The sequence below is a fragment of the Homo sapiens genome, chromosome 16 (genome assembly GCF_000001405.40).
Source record: "Homo sapiens chromosome 16, GRCh38.p14 Primary Assembly".
Lineage (NCBI taxonomy): Eukaryota > Metazoa > Chordata > Mammalia > Primates > Hominidae > Homo > Homo sapiens.
Genome location: NC_000016.10, coordinates 74,371,038 through 74,393,339, shown reverse-complemented (window position 1 = coordinate 74,393,339; position 22,302 = coordinate 74,371,038). Strand labels below are relative to the sequence as shown.

Genomic DNA, 22,302 nt, shown 5'->3' with positions numbered 1-22,302 from the left:
AGACCCTGTCTGTCTCTTAAATTAAAAAAAAAAAAAAAAAAATCTTAGAGGATGCTGTGCCTCCCTGGGGGTCTTCAGTCACCCATGGTCCTGGCAGCAGAGGAGGGCCAGGAGAGAGCTTCACCCACCTGCTGTCCTGCCCATGTGACATCCGCAGGTGCTGCCATGGCCACGACTGTTGTTACACTCGAGCTGAGGAGGCCGGCTGCAGCCCCAAGACAGAGCGCTACTCCTGGCAGTGCGTCAATCAGAGCGTCCTGTGCGGTGAGTCCCCAGCAGCACCATGCCACCCACCCCGAGTATCCCCTGGGCATCCTGGCATAGCCAGATGACTTCCGTGTCCCTGTTGCAATAACCACTGCTTCCAACTCTCTATAGACCACCCCTTGGGTATATCTAATGTAAGTGATATTTATTTTATTTATTTTTTGAGTCAGAGTCTTGCTCTGTCACCCAGGCTAGAGTGTGCTGATGTGATCTTGGCTCACTACAACCTCTGCCTCCTGGGTTCAAGCGATTCTCATGCCTCAGCCTCCCAAGTGGCTGGGACTACAGGCATGCACCATCACGCCCAGCTAATTTTTGTATGTTTTTCAGTAGAGGTGGGGTTTCACCAAGTTGGCCGGGCTGGTCTCAAACTCCCCACCTCAAGTGCTCTGCCCGCCTCGGCCTCCCAAAGTGCTGGGATTACAGGCATGAGTCGTGGTGTCTGGCCCTAATGTGAGTGATCTTTAACAATGAGGACTTGAAAAAGAAAACCCTGAAGAAACCTAATTCTTTGATGTCTGGACGACAAGGAAGAAGATAGAAATGGCATCAGATAATAAACAGTGTAAATGTTTATCGGAAAGAGGCTGGTGGTCGGGACCAGTAGGAGGATCGCTTGAGTCCAGGAGTGCATCTCTACAAAAAAGTTAAAGGATTTTTTAACATTGGCCAGGCGTGGTGGCACACATCTGTGATCCCAGCTACTTGGGAGGCTGAGGCAGGAGGATTGCTTGAAGCCCAGGAGGTTGAGGCTGCAGTGAGCTGTGATCGAGCCACTGCACTCCAGCCTGGGTGACAGAGCAAAACCCAGTCTCAAAAAAAAAAAAATAATAATATTTTACATAACCAACCACTTCTAAAGATTAAAAAAAAACCCTACAATTAATTAAAAACCTCAGGTCCCTCAGGCAATCATACCAGATATTGAAACAAAGCAATAACATAAGGACTGCAGTATTTATTTTATTTTTATATTATTTATTTATTCTTCGTTAGTTTGTTTTTGGAGCGTGGGTTTTGTTTTGTTTTTTGATTTTTTTCTTTTTTTCGACCCACGGATTTATTCTTATTGCCCAGGCTTGAGTGCAATGGCGTGTTCTCAGCTTACTCAACCTCCGCCTCTTGGGTTTGGGTAATTGTTGTGCCTCGGCCTCCCTCTGCCTCTTGGGCTTGGGCGATTGTTCCACCTCATCCGCCCTCCGCCTCTTGGGTTTCGGTGATTGTTCCACCTCATCCACCCTCCACCTCTTGGGTTTGGGTGGTTTTTCCGCCTCGGCCTCCTGAGTAGCTAAGGGAGGAGTCTTGAGATTATCATCCACTGAGGGTGGAAGAGGAGAGGGTGGAAGAGGGACAAAGAGACAGTCCTTCAGATTATCATCCACTGAGGGTGGAAGAGGAGAGGGTGGAAGAGGGACCAGGAGATACTCCTTCAGATTATCATCCACTGAGGGTGGAAGAGGAGCAAGAGGACACTCCTTGATATTATCATCCACTGAGGGTGGAAGGGGATGAAGGAGACATTCGGGAGGTGTCTTGAGGCTCAGGGAGTTATCAGTTATAGAATGTTGTTGAGTTGGAGGAGGTGGCTGGCGGCCCATCCTGTTTTTTAAAGCTTCAGCTGTGAGGTAGGGCCAGCAGGGCAATCCTGAAGAATGACGATGCTCCGCTGCCGCCATTCTGACCTGTAGGGCCAAAGGAGGGAATGTTTTCACACATATTCATTTGATGGACAAAATTACCGCCACCAACACAGTCTGCACCTTCTGTTGCTGGTGATAGATTTTTGCACCTTTCCATCCTCCAGGTTTCAAAATAGCAGTATCAGTGTCATGATATCACCCTTCCACTGAGTACTGCCGACAGCTGGGGAGTAAAGAAAAGTCATTGGGACACACTGTTGTCTCCACATGCCACTGTGTCTGTCTGCAAATGTAGGCAGGCTGGGGTCCTGCCCCAGGGAAGACAGAGTCATAACAGAGTAATAAAGAGGCATGTTTGAGACACAGGAGTGTCTATGTCTATCCTCATTCCTCCCTCACAGCCATCACCAGAGCATGTTTCTTGCACCAGGTCAACAGACAGTAAGAGACAGTAAGAGAGGCATGAAAAGCCCATTGTCCACACATGTTGCAGCTTCTTTTTGGAGAATGTTTTCCAGGCCTTTTATGTTCTGTCTCTGATTCTCAGGACTCTGCAAGGTCAGTGTGACCACCCTGCTCCAAATCTAAGAAAACAGAGGTTTCCAGAGGAAGGAGAAATTGTGCCCAGGGTCACACAGCTTGCAAGAGGCAGAGTGGAAGTTGATTCCAGCTCTGCCTGCAGGACCCTCTCATTTCCCCTCTGTTTCCCTTCTTGACAAAGGATCTTCTTCACTCTGGAGGTGCCACCCATGAGAACAAAGAGCTCTGGAGAGATGTGGGTTCCTGAAGAGCTGCAGGGGAACTGGGAGAGGGTTTTCTGACAGAACAATCTTACCTCAAGAAGTCAGTTAGGCATGGCTGTAATATTTCTTTTCACTCCCAGGTAATACCAAATTGTAAGTGCACTAGGACATAAAGAATACTTTTGTCCATGGAAAAATGAGGTGGGAATTCTAAACAAAGCAAGTTTTAAAACTGTGTTTCACTTCAAGTGCACAAGTCCCATCACGTGTAATCATAGGACTCGGCAGCTTTTGAAGGTACAGAGGCCACACAAGAACCAGCTTAGCTGAGCATCATTTAAGGCCTTCATTTGGAATTGTCCCTGTGGGTAATAAGTTACATTCACTCTTCACTAATTTACAGTCAGGGCCCATTTGCTATTACAAATATGGAACCTCTGACACTTTGAATATTAGATCAGGGGCCCCACTGGGTGGGGATGAAGGTGTTTTTGCACAACACGGTTACCAACAGGGATGGGACTGTGATGCCTGTAGGCAGCCTTCCTCTCTGCCATCTCCCTCTGCAGGGCTTGAGCACAGAGCTGTAGGGAGAAAAATGTATCCATGTCCTGACCTGGCAGACTATGTTCAAAAGCAAGGAAAACAAGCAAACTTACCCAGTTGCAAAGAGGCTTTCTTGCAGAAGGGGGGATCTGAAAAAGCCAACACATGAGAAATTGAATGTTGAGAGAGTCTAAGAGCCGTGGCATCATCTGCATCAGCACTGAACTATCCTGCAACTGCGGGGAGGAAGCTCCTTACTTTGCATTTGTGGTAGTCCTCTGCCCGCCGCCGCAACTCTTGCGCACGTTGAAACATTTTCCTATGGATTACAATCACTTTCATCAGATAAAGCACCATGTTCAGGATGATTTTAAATAATCTGCCATGTTTCTGTTATCCTCACAACTGTACCCTTACACAATCTATCTCTACCTAGAAAACGTATTTCAGATGGCTATAAGAGTACAGTCTGAGCCGGTCACGGTGGCTGATGCCTGTAGTCCCAGCACTCCGGGAGGGCGAGGCGGATGGATCACGAGGTCAGGAGATTGAGACCATCCTGGCTAATACGGTGAAACCCCGTCTCTACTAAAAATACAAAAGATTAGCCGGGCGTGGTGGCAGGCACCTGTAATCCCAGCTACTCGGGAGGCTGAGGCAGGGGAATCACTTGAACCTGGGAGGCGGAGGTTGCAGTGAGCCAAGATCACGTCATTGCACTCCAGCCTGGGTGACACAGTGAGACTCCATCTCAGAAAAACAAAAACAAAAACAAAAAAACTGTACGGTCTGATCCAAACTGTTGCTATATTGATTCCTCCTCTTGCTTACTGCCTGCTGACTTCTGAGATGATAGTTTCCTTCCCCATTCTCAGTATATCCCTAATTCATCCTTCATTGAGCATCTTTTATCATAAAGCTGTATTCTCTTTGTATTAATATCCTTACCGTGTTTCACAGGGCAGAAAGAGCTGGGCTTATAAACAGGCATAGTCCTTTTGAAGGATGTGGTTGATCCTACAACAACACACTTTCCTAAGGATGACAACAACTCACCCCACCCCTAGAATGGCTGGTATGAACCGAGTTTCCACACAGTCTAGCTGGCAATGGGGTCAGGAGACGTTTTGCTACTTCACATCTTTTGGTCACTGGTAAATATTCAGGTACTTTGTTTTCTGTTTTGTGAACTCTCTCTCTCTCTCACGATAGGTCTTCTGACCATTTGTTTCTATTTCTGCATTTACTGGGTCTAAACATTGTACAGAGGTTATAAACAACACTCCAATGGGCGTTTCCCAGGAGGGTGGGGTTCAGTTTCTGAACTCACTTGTAGGTGTGTATTTCTTTCATATCCAATTTCCCATTTTCCTCTGCCTCTGATACCTGCCTCTCCTTTTCTGTGTGCTCACATTCTTTCATGCTTAGTTTCCTCAGGTTAGAAGGGAGAGAAATGCACACACATGATCCACCAGTCCATGTGGGATTCCCTCTGCCCTTCTGGCATCTGAAGGCTGTGATTCAAAGATCCCCCCTGCAACCTTCCCACAAATGAACCAACTGATTCTCACAACCGAAGGGAGAATGGACACCTCCCATTGAGGGACCAAAAAAAATCACACTCTGGCCTGCTGGCAAGTCACCTGTCATTTCCAGCTCATCTTCATAGTTCCATAGTTAGTCCTATTCTTTAGTAAATATAAAGACTATTAAAAGCTTCTATGAGGTGCACTATGTGTGTGTCTGGGGTCAGTCTTGTGTTTGACACAGCGAAAGATCATTTTAGTTCAGTGTGAAAAACCAGACCTCACCAACTCATCACAACTAACTCCATCGGAAGCAGAGGATTGCTCCTCATCTGACTCTTCCTGTGTGAGACCTGCTTCTCAGTCAGAGGCTGATGCCAGAACTGAGACCATCAGCCATAGAGAGATCCTTCCAGAATATGGTGTCATTAACCCCGCAGTTCACTACTGCACTTTGCCATGATTCAGGACTGGAACTCTTGTCATCGACTTTAAAGATCCTGGTTGAGAGAAAAGGCAATCTGAATGCTGGGTGCATCTATTGAATTAGAAATGATCGGAATGGCTCCTAAGTCAGGGTGTTATGTCCTGAAAATAGGTGACAACGGCAAACCATCCACCCTGGTGTTGACTGACTTTAACAAGGTTCAGTTCACAGAGTTTGAGGGCAGAAAAAGGAAATGGCCTAAAAAGGGTAAGTTTGCTGTGTTGCCCTCACACCACTTGATTCATGGTCCTGATCCTAAGGATCTCACCTGATACTTGGTTTTATAGGAAGGATGTGTAAAATTCCCAGAACGCTAGGAAACAGGGGCGAAAACACTTCAAAGGGAAAGTTAATGAACTTGTTTCTGACCACAGGGCATCCTTCAGCACATGCTGTCTGGAGTGGCCTCCAACAAGGAGTGTGTGGTGTGGTGCTGAGAATGCAATGGGAGCAGGGTCCTGTCCCCACGCTAAAGAAGCTCACAGTTTAATGCAAATGAGAAGCCAGTGAGGACATCACTACTCCTGCTGTGCACTTGGGAACTAGAAACACAAAACCTGACTCTGGAGGGAAGCTAAGGAAGCATTCTACTCTTGAGTTGACATAAGTGCATCTGAAGCTTCTGATCTCCGATGAGAACAATGGGGGACACCAAACAGAATATAAAACCCATGATTGAATACATCAAATAGCTAACATGGCAGTAAACAGACATGAGGTGAAGATGGAGAAGAAGGAAACCCAGGACGAAAGTCAGCCTCGCATTTGGAATCCATTTCCCTGAGTTTCATTGCTGAATTCCAGAAGGAACTACTGAGATGCAAAGAAGCACAGCAGCTTTTGCACACATGCGTGGGATTAGATGGAAAACAAGTGGATTGAGGGTCTGCCAATGAAAGCGACCCGTACTGAAGTCCACTGGCTCTGGTTGAGACCCAGAAGAGTCATGCATCAGAATAGAGGTGGACAGGAAATACCCTGGCCTTTCTAGGGACTGAGCCTGCACCGACGACCTCAATTGCAGCCTGTATGGAGGACCCGTGACCATCCCCCAGAAGTAGACTCCCATCTCTTCTGCAGCAAGATAACATGCCACTAGGCCTCAATTCATTGCTAAATATTTTTTAACAAGTATCTCACATTTAACAAAAAGAGATCAGTCATATGGCAGCAAAATACAATGTAATATGACCAAAACATGAAAGACTGTGAAAATGAATCTGGAGGTGACCCAAGCATTGAATTCAACAATCCAGGCTGGGTGCGGTGGCTCACACTGGGAGGCTGAGGTAGGCAGATCACCTGAGGTCAGGAGTTCAAGACTAGCCTGGCCAACATGGTGAACCCCTGTCTCTACTAAAAATACAAAAATTGGGCCGGGCACGGTGGCTCACGCCTGTAATCCCAGCACATTGGGAGGCCGAGGTATGTGGATCATGATGTCCAGAGTTCTAGACCAGCTTGGCCAATATGGTGAAACCCCGCCTCTACTAAGAATACAAAAATTATCCGGGCATGGTGGCATATGCCTGTAGTCCCAGCTACTCAAGAGGCTGAGGGATAAGAATCGCTTGAACCTGGGAGGCGGAGGTTGCAGTGAGCCAAGATCATGCCACTGCACTCTAGCCTGGGTGACAGAGTGAGACTCTGTCTCAAAAAAAAAAAAAAAAAAATTGGCCGAATGTGGTGGCACACACCTGTAATCCAAGCTACTCAGGAAGCTGAGGCAGAATTGCTTCAAACTGGGAGGCAGAGGTTGCAGTGAGCCAAGATTGCACCATAGCACTCCAGCCTGGGCGACAGAGCGAGATTCTATCTCAAAATTTAAAAAAAAAAAAAAAAAAAAGGCTGGGTGTGGTGGCTCACACCTCTAATCCCAGCACTTTGGGAGGCTGAGGCAGGTGGATTACCTGAGGTCAGAAGTTCGAGACCAGCCTGGACAACATGGTGAAACCCCATCTCTAGTAAAAATACAAAAATTAGCTGGGCGTGGTGGTGGGCACCTGTAATCCCAGCTACTTGGGAGGCTGAGGCAGGAGAATTGCTTGAAGCCAAAAGGCAGTGAGCTGAGATTGTGCCATTGCACTACAGCCTGGGCAACAACAGCAAAGCTCCATCTCAGGAAAAAAAAAAAAAAGAGAGAAAGGAAAACCAATGCCAGTACTAGCAACTCCTCTTCCCCCGAAAAAATTACAAACAAGAATGTAGGAAGGGAAAGGAATTATACAGCTTAAACTAATGAAGCAGAAAGGACAAACTCAATTTTGAGCCCACTGAATTTGCCACAAATATTGTAGAAAATATTCTCAAGGACTTTACAGTTGTCTACTTTGATTGGCACATGGTTCATACAACAGTATTTGTGTCAAGGCACATCTTACTGTTTTCTGGCGGTCTTCCTCTTTCCATTGATTTTGTCATGACGGTTGATTTTCGTTGTCACCTTCCTCTTACGGATTTTAGCTCTAACTTTTGTTTCCACATGCCTCCGTAGAGTAATGACGTCTTTCAGGCCAATTTTATTTCCTCGAAAGGAAGAAACTCTTTTCTTTGTGTGCATACAAATGGACCTCAGCCCTTGGTGAGAGTGAGGAGAGGAGAAGGTGAGAAACCTGAGGTCAAGAAGCTGTTCTTTCCCTTTCCAGGGCAAACTCATTTCCACACTATGGGGACTCCAACAGAGCCATACCTTTCTGTCTACTGCGGTTGGACCTCCAGGCTCTCTGCTGTACATCCGTGGATCCATCATGTCCATTTCGAGACCAGAAGATAGTCTTCAGGAAAGACACCTAGGAAATAATAATATAAGAATGACGGCTGGGCACGGTGGCTCATGCGTATAAATAATCCCAGTACTTTGGGAGGCCGAGGCAGGTGGATCACGGGGTCAGGAGTTCAAGACCAGCCTGGCCAAGATGGTGAAACCCTGTCTCTACTAAAAATACAAAAATTAGCCAGGCATGGCAGCGGGCGCCTGTAATCCAAGCTACTCGGGAGGCTGAGGCAGAGAACCGTTTGAAGCTGGGAGGCGGAGGTTGCAGTGAGCCGAGATCACACCACTGTACTCCAGCCTGAGCGACAGAATGAGACTCTGTCACACACACACACACACACACACACACACACACACACACACACAAGAATGACATGAGGCTGGCACGGTGACTCACTCCTGTAATCCCAGCACTTTGGGAGGCCGAGGCAGGTGGATCACCTGAGGTCGGGAGTTTGAGACCAGCCTCACCAACATGGAGAAATGCTGTCTCTGCTAAAAATACAAAATTAGCCAGGCATGGTGGTGCATGCCTGTAATCCCAGCTAGTCGGGAGGCTGAGGCAGGAGAATCACTTGAACCCAGCAGGAAAAGGTTGTGGTGAGCTGAGATTGTGCCATTGCACTCCAAACCTGGGCAACAAAATTGAAACTCTGTCTCAAAAAAAAAAAAAAAAAAAAAAAAAAAAATAGGCCAGGTGCGGTAGCTCACGCCTGTAATCCCAGCACTTTGGGAGGCTGAGGCGGGTGAATCACAAGGTCAAGAGATGGAGACCATCCTGGGCAACATGGTGAAACCCCGTCTCTACTAAAAATACAAAAATTAGCTGAGCATGGTGATGCACGCCTGTAGTCCCAGCTACTCGGGAGGCTGAGGCAGGAGAACTGCTTGAACCCAGGAGGCAGAGGTTGCAGTGAGCCAAGATCCCACCACTGCACTCCAGCCTGGTGACAGAGTGAGACTCCGTCTCAAAAAAAAAAAAAAAATGACATGAATATACTTCACACAACTGAACTGTACACTTCAACACGGTTAGATGGTAATTATCATCTTATAAGTATTTTACCACAGGTTAACATGTTTCACAACTTGAAAAGGAAGTAATTACCTTCAGCTCTCTGAGTTCTAGAATTTGTAACATTTCACCCCCTGCTCCTTCCTGATCTGCACTGGAGCATCTTCCTTCTGTCCCTGCTCTACTCAGAGTTCACTTTCCCTTCCCTCACATCAGCTTCATTGAGGCTGGTTTGAACTTAACGCAAAACATTCTCACTAATGACTGAATTCCCACCAAGATTTCCATATTATCACAGTATGCTTTTAATCTTCTAAGATATTAAATATTTGTTCTCATCATAGCGAAAATGCAATGCAAATCCCATCTCAGATGTGGGTCAGATACCTATGAATCTCCTGAGGTAGTCATTGAAATGACTTTTTTCTTGAGATGGAGTGTCACTCTCAACCATGCTGAAGTGCAGTGGCGCTACCTTGGCTCACGGCAACCTCCACCTCCCAGATTCAAGCGATTCTTGTGCCTCGGCCTCCCAAGTAGCTGGGATTATAGGTGCCTGCTACCATGCCTGGCTAATTTTTGTCTTTTTAGTAGAGATGGGGTTTCACCATGTTGGCCCATCTGGTCTTGAACTCCTGACCTCAAGTCATCCACCTGCCTCAGCCTCCCAAAGTGCTGGGATTACAGGCATGAGCCACCACACCTGGCCTGAAATAATATCTTTCAAATTCTTTGTAGAATTTGTTTTTTCCTGATTTCTGCACATAGGATAAAAAAAAAAAATCATATACTAGGATTTCGAGAGAAGCAATGGGTAATCTAAAAAGATGAAAAGAGCAACCACGTCAATCCCACAGCTACTACTAGATTTCATAGGAAAGGTAGCTGGCCCAGTTTGGAGCTAGGAGAAATGTCAAACACATGAAGAAATGAGAAGCAAAGAAATGCCATCACGCATGAATGCTTCATGGCACCCATGATGTCCCTGCTTAGGAGGTAATGGTATAGATGACTAGATGACAAGGACAAAGATGAGAGGTGCGAAGTTGTCCAAGTCCAGCAGCTCAACTGAACTTTCCTAAATGGAACTGTTAAAAAGTGGTAAATTTAAAAACTTCCCCTGGCTCACGTGGTGGCTCACGCTTGTAATCCCAGCACTTTGGGAGGCTGAGGCGGGTGGATCATTTGAGGTCGGGTTTTGAGACTAGCCTGGCCAACATGGTAAAACCCCGACTCTACTAAAAATACAAAAATTTGCTGGGCATGGTGGTGGGCACCTGTAATCCCAGCTACTTGAGAGGCTGAGGCAGGGGAATCGCTTGAAGCCAGGAGGTGGAGGTTGCAGTGAGCCGAGATCACACCATTATACTCCAGCCTGGGCAACAGAGGGAGACTCGTTTCGGGGGTGAGAAAAGAAAAAAAAAAAAAAAAAAAAAGCTTCCTCCAATTTATACCAAAAATTCTCTGTTCAGGACTAAGTGGCATAGAGAATGTTAAATGTGCCTAGATATCTTCATAACTCATATATTTTCTGTTTTCTACATATCTTGAAAGGCAGTGCCAAATGACTTGTAATTATCTAGGTGGTAAAACTGAAACATACTTCCTCTTCCCTTGAATATAAAAAAGCATTGTGGTATTAGTACTTTTATCTTGGATCATTGTTCAGAAGGAGGTTCAGCCCCCAGAAAACCACATTTTTACTGTCATGAATGGTAAGACAAAATGTAGAGCTCAACTTACCCAAAGGAAAAAAGGCTCAAAAGACAAATTATGGCACAACTTAGCAGCCAAATTCTTACCAAGTACAGACTTTTGACATACTGATCTCTTTCCAGTTGCAAGTGGGAACATGCACTTTGAATGATGTCATTCAAAATTACCCTGCCCAGACACACTTTTCATTGATTCTCTTGGAGGGCAGTTCTAAGAGATTCTCTGGGGCTTTCTCTGCATCATGAGACGCAGTGCAGTTCTGCCCTTCACCTTCCGGCAGTTTGTCACCTCGTCCCTATGACCTCAGAGGAACTTTGTCTCAGGCCAATTGTTTGTTCCTTGGCCTCTTTCATTTCCCCTAAAAATCATTTGCTGCCCCTCTAAATGGCCTACATCTCCATCTATCTCCCTCTCCCCTCAGAAGAGGGTGCTCTTTAAGCATCAACCATCCGGCCCTTCTAGCAGTCTCATTTTTCAGCTGGTTCCCATGTTTATGCCTGTTCTATGTTTTTCTTTTCCTGTTAAGCTGTCTGTTGTCAGCTCATTTCTGCAGTGAATCTTCAGAGAGGAGATTGGAAGCTTTCCTTCCACCCATACGATAGAACTATAAAGCAGAAGAGTTTAGAAAGAATTTCCTATTTAAGTGACGAAACCTCATACTCCATTTGTGATAAATAGCACAAAGGCTAAAAAAACTTATTTTTGACCAAAAGCTCTGTTGACATTCTATTAAACAAACACCGACCTATTTAATTTTCATAATGTAAATGGCAGACATTTTCATAATTCTTATGCTAATAAATCATTTCCCTGATTTTTTGGGTAAAACCACATATTCATAATGAAGTCCAGAAACGTGAATTGTTTTATATAATTTATTCTTATTTGTGATTACAAGTATACCTCTACAGAAAGTTAGTATACTCACACAAAGGTAACTTGTGCAGAAGAGAATGGTAAATGTGTCACGTCTCAGAAACCCAATAATGATAATTATCAAATTATCCAATTTTTGTGGAGATGGGGTTTTGCCATGTTGGCCAGGGTGGTCTCGAACTCCTACACCAAAGTCAGTCTCACGATGACGATAGACAGCCAGACTATTGATGACCTGGAATAATAATAGTTGAAAGAATGAAAAGGTCAATGACACCGACAATATTTCACTCAGAAAGAATCATCCTTAGAAACCGTCAACCTCCTCCAAAAGGTAACCACATCCCTCAGATATCACCGTGGGATTCCACTGCTACAAAAAAGAACAGAAGTTAGAAGTCTCATGTTTTTCAGATGGCTGGTAGTGTTTTTAGGCATTGCAAATGTGGGGTGTTGTCTTTCTTGGTATAAAGCAGGGATATCCAATCTTTTCACTTCCCTGCCTATATTAAAAGAAGCAAAGTTGTCTTGAGCCACACATAACATACACTAACACTAACAATAGCTGATGATCTAAAAAAAAACTCTTTTTTTTTTTTTTTGGAGACAGAGTTCCGCTCCACTCAGTCGCCCAGGCTGGAGTGCAGTGGTGCAATCTCGGCTCACTGCAACCTCCAGCTCCTGGGCTCAAGCCATTCTCCTCCCTCAGCCTCCCGAGTAGCTGAGATTACAGGTCTCTGCCACCATGCCCGACTCATTTTTGTATTTTTAGTAGAGATGAGGTTTCACCATGTTGGCCAGTCTGGCCTTGAACTCCTGGCAGGCGATCTGCCTGCCTCGGCCTCTGAAAGTACTGGGATTACAGGTGTGAGCCACCGTGCCCAGCCATTTTTTTTTGTTTTTGTTTTTGTTTGGTGTTTTGTTTTTGAGATGGGGTCTCACTCTGTCACCCAGGCTGGAGTGCAGTGGCGTGCTCTCGGCTCACTGCAACCTCTGCCTCTCAGGTTCAAGTGATTCTCCTGCCTCAGCCTCCTGAGTAGCTGGGAGTACAGGTGCCTGACAATGCACTCAGCAAATTTTTGTATTTTTTGTGGAGATGGGGTTTTGCCATGTTGGCCAGGGTGGTCTCGAACTCCTGACCTCAGGTAATCTGCCCGCCTCAACCTCCCAAAGTGCTGGGATTACAGGCATGAGCCACTGTACCTGGCCAAAATCTCCTAATGTTTTAAGAAAGTTTACAAATTTGTGTTGAACTGCATTCAAAACTGTCCTGGGCCACATGCAGCCCGTCACTCATGGCTAAGACAAGCTAAGTATAAAGTAATTATCTTTTCTTTTTGTTTGGAGACAAAGTCTTGCTCTGTCACCCAGGCTAGATTGCAGTGGCATGATCTCAGCTCACTGCAACCTCCGCCTCCCGGGTTCAAGCGATTCTCCTGCCTCAGCTACTGAGTAACTGGGATTACAGGCGCCTGCCACCGCACTCGGCTAATTTTTGTATTTTTAGTAGAAACAGGGTTTCACCATCTTGGCCAGGCTGGTCTCCAACTCGTGACCTCTTGATCCACCTGCCTCGGCCTCCCAAAGTGCTGGGAATACAGGTGTGAGCCACTGCACCTGGCCAGTAGTTATCTTTTCTTTAAAGTTATTTACTTGTTTTTTAAATTGATGTATAACATTGGATGCATTTATTATATATCACATGGTAAAAGAATCCCTCTAAATAATACTTCTCTCTTGGATTATATGAATCTTTGTCATTTAAAGCTCAGCATAAGTAAAAAAAAAAAAAAAAATACAATGAAGAGATTACTTCATTCACAAATAAGTATCAAATTTTAGTGCTTAAAAATTAACAAGGTGGGCCGGGTGTGGTGGCTCACGCCTGCAATCCCAGCACTTTGGGAAGCCGAGGTGGGTGGACCACGAGATCAGGAGATTGAGACCATCCTAGCTAACACGGTGAAACCCATCTCTACTAAAATTACAAAAAATTAGCAGGGCATGGTGGCACGTGCCTATAGTTCCAGCTACTTGGGAGGCTGAGGCAGAAGAATCACTTGAACCCAGGAGGCAGAGGTTGCAGTGAGCCGAGATCGCACCACTGCACTTCAGCCTGGGTGACAGAGCGAGACTCTGTCTCAAAAAAAAAAAAAAAAAAAAAATTACCAAGGTGGAGATCATGAAAATGGCATGAATAGTGTGGGATTTCTCTAAGATTGTTGATATTAATTCCATTAGACTCTTATGTGAGTGAAGACGAAGACTTCCCCTGAGTAAGTTCAGACAGCTTGTGATAACATTTCTACATCGATTCCTCAGGATTTAACTATATATTCTTGAAAACATCTCAATTTTAAATGTTTCTTTCAAGATGGTGAATTAAACAGAGATAGCCCTTCAACAGGTGGAACTCAGCATATGCTGAGTCTGAAATGGAAATGATGGAGTTAGAGAACCATACAACAACGGTAATGATTTCAGAAACATGGTGTTGAGCAGAATAAAGCAGACACAAAAGAGTACCTATGGCATGGCATGCATCTGTATACGCGAAATTCCAGAATAAGCAAGCTAACCTATGATAAGAAAGAGACTGGCTGGGAAGAGTGGGAGTTCACTTTCTGGGGTGACATAATAGTGTAGATCTTGGCTGGGCACGGTGGTTCACGCCTGTAATCCCAACACTTTGGGAGGCCAAGGCGGGCGGATCACCTGAGGTCGGGAGTTCAAAACCAGCCTGACCAACATGGAGAAACCCTATCTCTACTAAAAATACAAAATTAGCTGGGAGTGGTGGCACATGTCTGTAATCCCAGCCACTCGGGAGGCTGAGGCAGGAGAATCGCTCGAACCTGGGAAGCAGCGGTTGCGGTGAGCTGATATTGCCCCATTGCACTCCAGCCTGGACAACAAGGGAGAAACTGTCTCAAATAAATAAATAAATAAATAAAATAATGTAGATCTTGAAAGGGGGTCGGTTTATGCTGGTGTATGTACTTTCCAAAGTTAGTAAACTTACACTTAAGGTTATATATTTTGGCCAGGCGCGGTGGTTCACGCCTGTAATCCCAGCACTGGGAGGCCGAGGCAGGCGGATCACGAGGTCAAGAGATGGAGACTATCCTGGCGAACATGGTAAAACCCCGTCTCTACTAAAAATACAAAAATTAGCCAGGCGTTGTAATCTGAGCTACTCAGGAGGCTGAGGCAGGACAATTGCTTGAACCCCGGAAGCGGAGGTTGCAGTGAGCCGAGATCTTGCCACTGCACTCCAGCCTGGGCGACAGAGTGAGACTCTGTCAAAAAAAAAAAAAAAAAAAAAAAGGCATCAAACCAGGTGACACAAATCAAATGACATTTCACTTTGTTTTGGTCCATTTTGTTTGTTAGAGACAAGAGTGCAGCGGGGCCATCTCAGCTCACTGCAACGTCCAGCTCCTGGGCCCAAGCGATCCTCCCACCTCAGCCTCTCCAGTAACTGTGATAACAGGTACGCACCACCAGGCCCGACTAATCTTTTTTGGAATTTTTTGTAGAGATGGGGTTTCGCCATGATGCCCTGGCTAGTCTTCAACTCCTGGACTCAAGTGATCTGCCCACCTCGGCCCCCTAAAGTGCTGGGATTACAGGCCTGAGCTGTGTAATTTCATGCCGCGTGACACAGCCCAGTAAAAAGGAAGAAACCCGGCGGGTCCAGCGTCTACTCACAGGGGTGGGCTGATGGCTGATAAATCCCAGCAGGAGCCAAATGAGGAGCCAAAAGCGCAGCCGCATGTCCTGGTCCTTTCAGGGCGCCCTGAGGCGGCCAGGACAGAGGTGGAGGTGGCTTAGGGCAGGGGGGAGGGAAGGGGACGGGGACCGGGGCCGGATCTAAGTTGGGGAGGGGGAGGGGAGGGGGAGGGGAGGGGGAGGGGAGGGGGAGGGGAGGGGGAGGGGAGGGGGAGGGGGAGGGGAGGGGAAGGGGGGAAGTAAGGGAAGGGAAAGGAGGAGAAGGGGGCTGTTGGGCACCTGGAGGAGGTGGAGGAGGAGGAGGAGGAGAAGAAAGGGGTCTGGGAAAGGATCCGGTTCAAATTAAGTTCTCAAGCGCTGGTGGAAGGTTTAGCTACAGGTCACGGAGAAGATCAGGGAAGCAACAGGACACGTGGGGCAAGGGAGCGTGAGGCTTAGGAGCAATTAGAGGGAGACAAAAAGGTTCTGCTATCCACCAAACCTTCTTCGGTCTGGGCCCTCCCTTAGCAACCCTGGGGCTTTATACTCCCTCTCCACCAATCCCTGATGACCCCGGTGGTGCCTCACAATGGACAATGCCAAGTAGCGCCCGCATCATTCCAATGACCCCTCCCCCATCTCAGTCTCCCACACTCCTCGCAAGGACAGGTCCTCTCTGGAACCTTCACAAACCTGATTTCTGGTCCTCCCCAACCAGCTCCCTGTCCCTGCTTCTGGGCTCTCCTTCCTTCCTGAGCTCCCAGGGTTCCTCAAGGTCACTTTTGGCGACAAAACATAAAAAACAAATGATGGCAGGATGGCAGGAAGAACTTCATACCCAAGCAGAGTGCCAGGTTTTACAGCCTCCGCTCAGCCATTCATATCCTAAGCAACAAAACATCAGCAGGATGCGGAAGGTCCCGATAGTAAACCATCTCCATCACATCCATGTAGCCATCCGTCCATCAACCTGTATCTCAGGAACAAATGTAGATACATTCATTTTAAGCATGCATGGTACATTTACAAAAATTAACCTGACTTATTTTGTTCCAGCAAATCTCAATATATTTGAGAGCAATCAAATCACACAGCATGTTTCTGATCATATAACTGTGCTAGAAGTCAATGATTAAAAGCTAATTCAAAATTATTATTTGCTTGGAAATTCAAAGTGCCCTTATAAGACATAAACATAAGAAAGAATCCAAAATGAAACAAGATTGCCTTTCAACTCAATGATGAGATCATAACATGGCAATAAAATGTCTCCCCCTGGCCTGGGAATTCCTCTTTGTGGCACAAGGTTGTGTGATCTCAAATCACCCCTAACCCACCTAGACATTTTAACATCTGAAACCGAGTGATGATGTCCTTATCTATAATCATCTTACTGCCTGTGTGTGTGGACTTTAAATTCTGAACCCAAATGAGGGGGAGAAAACCAAGTTGACCTTCATCATTGACCTCTCAGGGACGTCCAAGGAATCTGTGCATTTCAAGAAACAAAGTTCATCAGCTTCTCTCCTAAGGTATTTGCCCACAATACCCAGAGGGCTTGGCAGCATCATGTGTGATGGGTGGGGAGCTCCAAGCAGGTGGGCAGGACCCAGGGGTCTGGTGACCAGGACAGACCCCCACTGTCCATCACCTTTCCTGGCCCTGTCCTCAGCTGAACTTCCCACAGGCCTTCTGCCCGATCACACAGAGTGTGCCCAAACTCACTCAGGCCTCTGGCAGCTGAAAACCACTGCTTTAAATCCCTTTACCATTTACTATGACATAAGGTTATTGTAAACAGGAAATATTCTATTGATGCTACAAATGGAAAGCCAATGCCTTTACCATAAATAGAAAAACAACCCTAAGAAACAAGCAAAACAAAAACAAAACAGGGGCTGGGTGTGGTGGCTCACGCCTGTAATCCCAGCACTTTGGGAGGCCGAGGTGGGTGGATCACAAGGTCAGGAGTTCCAGACCAGCCTGGCCAATATGGTGAAACCCTGTCTCTAATAAAATACAAAAATTAGCCGGGTGTGGTGGTGGGCGCCTTAGTCCCACCTACTTGGGAGGCTGAGGCAGGAGAATAGTTTGAACCCGGGAGGCAGAGTCTGCAGTGAGCCGAGATTGCACCACTGCACTCCAGCCTAGGCGACAGAGCGAGACTCAGTCTCAAAAACAGCAACAACTACAAACAAACAAAAAACAGGGTTAACAAAACTATGGAATTCAATTCTATTTATATGCTGCAGCCATGTTCCAGCCCTAGATTTGGCTGGGCATGGTGGCTCACGCCTGTAATCCCAGCACTTTGGGAGGCTGAGGCAGGCGGATCACGAGGTTAGGAGTTCGAGATCAGCCTGACCAACATGGTGAAACCCCGTCTCTACTAAAAATACAAAAATTAGCCAGGCACGGTGGCACCCGCCTGTAATCCCAGCTACTCAGGAGGCTGAGGCAGGACAATCCCTTGAACCCAGGAGGTGGAGGTTGCAGTGAGCCGAGATCGTGCCATTGCACTCCAGCCTGGGTGACAGAATGGAATGAGACTCTGTCTCAAAAAAAAAGAAGCCCTCGGATTTCGGTTGTGTTGGTTGTAAAAGGAGAGACCAAGTAAGTGGGGGTTGAAGTCAGATTAGACCAAAAGTGAATGGCAGAGAGTACTATAATGTCCATGAAGGGTTGCTAGAGTCACCGTGATCATAGCCCAAGCAGAGACAGGGAAAGGAAGATGTGAGCAGAGTTTGGGGCCTCAAACATTGGAGGTTACTCGTGCAGCCCAGGAAAGGCTCCCCAAAGCCAGGATCAACCTCCCTTGCAGGCGGTCCCTCATGGAGGCATGGCCAGGCACCTTAGATTTGAGACCAGCTGTGTTGCTGCTGACCAGCTGTGTGACCCTGGGCTGGTTTCCTTGCGTACAATGGGAGTGCCAATGGCTGCATGCATGCAAAGACCATCTGAGGATAGGAGGAAGCAATCTGTTGAGCACCCGTGTACCTGAGTGTCATCACCTCCCAAAGGCATCCTTCGTTCCAGAGCTGGCACCTTGGAAGGCCCTTGGTTACTAAATGCAGTGATGATGGTAACAGCAGTAAATCATCATTTACGGCTGATGACGGAAGGCCAGGGGGTAGGGCTCCTAGGTCCTGGATAAGAATGAGGGTCTGGGCACTTCTGGGGACAGCTGAGTGGTAGAACTCCTGGGTCTCCAGGGGGCAGGTCCATCTTCAGTGGCATTGGGCCTAGGCTGGGATGCTGAGTTATCCACTGGAGCATCAGCAGTACAGGCAGGCACAGAGGCAGTGGATCCATCGGAGGTGGCAGGTGTAGGATCATCTGGTGAGCAAGTAGAGTCACCAAGCCTGGCTTCTAGATATAAGAGAAGTTCCTGGGCCGGGTGCCACGGCTCAAGCCTGTAATCCCAGCACTTTGGGAGGCCGAGGCGGGTGGATCACGAGGTCAGGAGATCGAGACCATCCTGGCTAACACGGTGAAACCCCGTCTCTACTAAAACTACAGAAAAATTAGCCGGGCGTGGTAGCAGGCACCTGTAGTCGTAGCTACTCGGCAGGCTGAGGCAGGAGAATGGCGTGAACTCGGGAAGCGGAGCTGGCAGTGAGCCGAGATTGCGCCACTGCACTCCAGCCTGGGCGACAGAGGGAGACTCCGTTTCAAAAAAAAAAAAAAAAAAAAAAAACCAAAACAAAACCAAAAAAAGAATGTTCCAGAAAATTGCCATTTATTTATCTAATAGGTACTGTTAAGCTAGAATATTTGAATTTTGAAGAAAATAGTAGCCGAGCATGGTGGTGGGCACCCATGATTCCAGCTCCTTGGGAGGCTAAAGCAGAAGCATCACTTGACCCCAGGAATTCAAGACCAGCATGGGCAACATAGCGAGACCCTGTCTTTAAAAACTTTTTTTTTTTTTTTTGAGACAGAGTTAGCTCTTGTTGCCCAGGTTGGAATGCAGTGGCGTGATCTCAGTTCTGATCTCAGAGGCGGGCGGATCACAAGGTTTGGAGTTCGAGACCAGCCTGACCAATATGGTGAAACCCAGTCTCTACTAAACATACAAAAATTAGCGGGGCATGGTGGTGCATGCCTGTAATCCCAGCTACTCAGGAGGCTGAGGCAGGAGAATCACTTCAACCCGGGAGGCGGAGGTTGCAGTGAGCCAAGATCGCACCACTGCACTCCAGCCTGGGCGACAGACTGAGGCTCCATCTCAAAAAAAAAAAAAGATTGTTCTCGAAGTCAGGGCTGACAACCCTCTCAACCACAGCAGCGGTGGTAGGGACAGAGAGGTCCGAACAGAGGAGAGGCACTGAGGAGACAGACCCTTTGAGGCTGGGTGATGAGCAGGAGGTGGAGGGAGAGGCGAGTGGGGAGACCAGGTGAGTCCCAGGTTTCTGGTGTGGTTGGCCATTCCTGGAACTGGAAATAGAAGGGGCTGATTGAGAAGACAGGATGAAGACACTGTTGTAGACGTGAGCCTACGGGGTTCCCAGATGTAGCTGCTCCAGAATTAGTTGGATAAGCAGAATAAGACCATTGACTTGCAAGACTGCAGTGAGTGAAGATTTCCTTAAGAAGGCGTAGGCCCTGATTTCACCATTCTTATATAATTGCACTATCAGACAGCCTTTATTTGAGCTGCAAAAAAGGCTACCTAGTAAACCAGCCCAAAACTCAGTGCCTTACAACAAAGCATTCAGTGCCATGCTCATGAGACTGTAGGTGACTATGGTCTAGCTGGACAGCTGTGTTTCAAACTGAGAGTCAGTAGGCTTGGACAGCTTTGTTTCAAACTGAGGGTCAGCAGGCTTGGACAGCTTTGTTTCAGGCTGAGGGTCAGCAGGCTTGGCTTCAGGCTGAGTTCAGGTCTGTTTCAAGTGCCTTTCACTTTCCATGATCCAACAGCTACTCAGGGCATAAACTTGTGACAAGGGCTGATGACATGCTCAACACCTCTTAAGGCCAATCTCCAGATCTGTACACTATGGCTTCTACCCACCTTAAAAAATAAGTTTGGTTGGCCAGGTGCAATGGCTCACGCCTGTAATCCCAGCACGTTGGGAGGCCAAGGCGGGCGGATCACAAGGTCAAGAGATTGAGGCCATCCTGGCCAACATGGTGAAACCCTGTCTCAACTAAAAAAAATTTATATATACAAAAATTAGCTGGGTGTGGTGGCGTGCTCCTGTAGTACCAGCTAATCGGGAGGCTGAGGCAGAAGAATTGCTTGAACCCAGGAGGCAGAGGTTGCAGTGAGCCGAGATCGTGCCACTGCACTCCAGCCTAGCGACAGAGCAAGACTCCATCTCAAAATAATAATAATAATGTTTGACTGAAGCCAACCAACATCAGTGGGACAGGAATCCTACTCCCCCCATTTCGTGCACTGCAAGGTCACATGGCAATAGGGAATGAGGAATTGAAAACAACATCCCATCTACCATAGCTAGCTGCGTTCCTTCCTGTTACACTGCCTGCTTTTTTCTGTCTCTGTATCCAGCCCTTACATCACCCAGTCTCAGATGCTTTCCTGGCCACCTGTCCTATGGCATAGTGCAAAGATCATTAGATTCAGATATTCAACATGGGAAGAGCTCCATTTCTGGTCCTTCCTCCTAGGTGTGTGATCTTGGAAAAGTCATGTTACATCTGTGTCTACTCTATCTGCTAAAATTTACTTCATGAGATTGCCAGAAAGATTACGTGAGCTGATACAGAAGGAAAAATTTTGTCCTATGTATTTTCATTAAGACCCAGTGCAAGTCTTCCCTCTTAAAAAAGCTTTAAATGACTACCATTTCTTCCCAGGACTCTTAGTTAACATCCGGTGGCTTCTAGATATAAGAGAAGTTCCTGGGCCGGGTGCCGCGGCCCACGCCTGTAATCCCAGCACTTTGGGAGGCTGAGGCAGGCAGATCACGAGGTCAGGAGATCGAGACCATCCTGGCTAACACGGTGAAACCCCATCTCTACTAAAAATACAAAAAAATTAGCCGGGCATAGTGGTGGGCGCCTGTAGTCCCAGCTACTCGGGAGGCTGAGGCAGGAGAATGGCATGAACCCAGGAGACGGAGCTTGCAGCGAGCCGAGATGGTGCCACTGCACTCCAGCCTGGGTGACTGAGCGAGACTCCGTCTCAAAAAAAAAAAAAGAGAGAGAAGTTCCAGGCCGGGTGTAGTGGCTCATGCCTGTAATCCCAACACTCTGGGAGGCCGAGGCGAGCGGATCACAAGGTCAGGAGATCGAGACCATCCTGGCCAACATAGTGAAACCCCATCTCTATTAAAAATACAAAATTTAGCTGGGTGTGGTGGCACACGCCTGTAATCCCAGCTACTCAGGAGGCAGAGGCAGGAGAATCCCTTGAACCAGGGAGTTGGAGGTTGCAGTGAGCCGAGATCGCACTACAGCAGTCTAGCCTGGCGACACAGTGAGACTCCGTCTCAAAAAAAAAAAAGAAGTTCCTGGCTGGGCGCAGTGGATCAAGAGATCGAGACCATCCTGGCCAACATGGTGAAACCCTGTCTCTACTAAAAATACAAAAATTAGCTGGGCATGGTGGCATGCGCCTGTAGTCCCAGCTGCTCGGGAGGCTGATGCAGGAGAATGGCGTGAACCCGGGAGGCAGAGCTTGCAGTGAGCCAAGATCGCGCCACCGTACTCCAGCCTGGGTGACAAAGCAAGACTCTGTCTCACAAAAAAAAAAAAAAAAAAAAAAAGTACTGATTGTTACTCGCAACATTCTTCTCTTCCCATGGTGTGAATGAGAACATCCCTGCTTTCCACACAAACACAGGCTCTCAAGCACACGAGAAGCATGCCAGGTGTCAGGTCCTTTCTGTGAAGTCGGTTGTAGGCAGATGTCCAGTCTACTGATGGCGACAAGAACTTCAGAGGGAGGAGGGAGGCCTTCCCCACAGCCATGCCGGTGCTGGAGGGAGGTAAGATAAACGCCTGCATCTTAGCGACCTCAGATCCAAATTC

The 22,302-nt window shown here is 47.1% G+C and overlaps 1 protein-coding gene across 9 annotated transcripts, besides 1 other annotated feature; it reads right to left on the bottom strand.

Annotated features, from left to right (window-relative positions):
• Positions 1 to 1,224: 1,224 nt before the first annotated feature.
• On the bottom strand, positions 1,225 to 17,034 carry NPIPB15 (nuclear pore complex interacting protein family member B15). Of its 9 annotated transcripts, XM_047434161.1 has the most exons (9): positions 15,601 to 16,093; positions 15,301 to 15,388; positions 11,642 to 11,824; positions 7,899 to 7,998; positions 7,591 to 7,786; positions 3,455 to 3,515; positions 3,310 to 3,345; positions 3,163 to 3,234; positions 1,225 to 1,949 (listed from the first exon to the last, which is right to left on the bottom strand). In XM_047434161.1, exons 2-9 carry the CDS (start codon positions 15,364 to 15,366, stop codon positions 1,260 to 1,262), a joined length of 1,404 nt encoding a protein of 467 aa, XP_047290117.1. In that variant the 5' UTR covers positions 15,367 to 15,388; positions 15,601 to 16,093; the 3' UTR covers positions 1,225 to 1,259. The 9 variants fall into 9 exon arrangements, with proteins under 9 accessions (XP_047290117.1, NP_001293023.1, NP_001372667.1 ...); NM_001306094.2 differs by lacking the exon at positions 3,163 to 3,234 and having other exon boundaries at positions 15,994 to 17,034; NM_001385738.1 differs by lacking the exons at positions 3,163 to 3,234; positions 15,301 to 15,388 and adding an exon at positions 16,638 to 17,034 and having other exon boundaries at positions 15,994 to 16,270.
• Positions 12,142 to 12,359: a silencer, noted in NCBI's record as "fragment chr16:74414879-74415096 (GRCh37/hg19 assembly coordinates)". NCBI's record gives its function as "represses an EF-1alpha promoter that drives an FKBP-Casp9 reporter gene in an ReSE screen in K562 erythroleukemia cells {active_cell/tissue: K562}" and the evidence as "EXISTENCE:reporter gene assay evidence [ECO:0000049][PMID:32094911]".
• Positions 17,035 to 22,302: the final 5,268 nt, after the last annotated feature.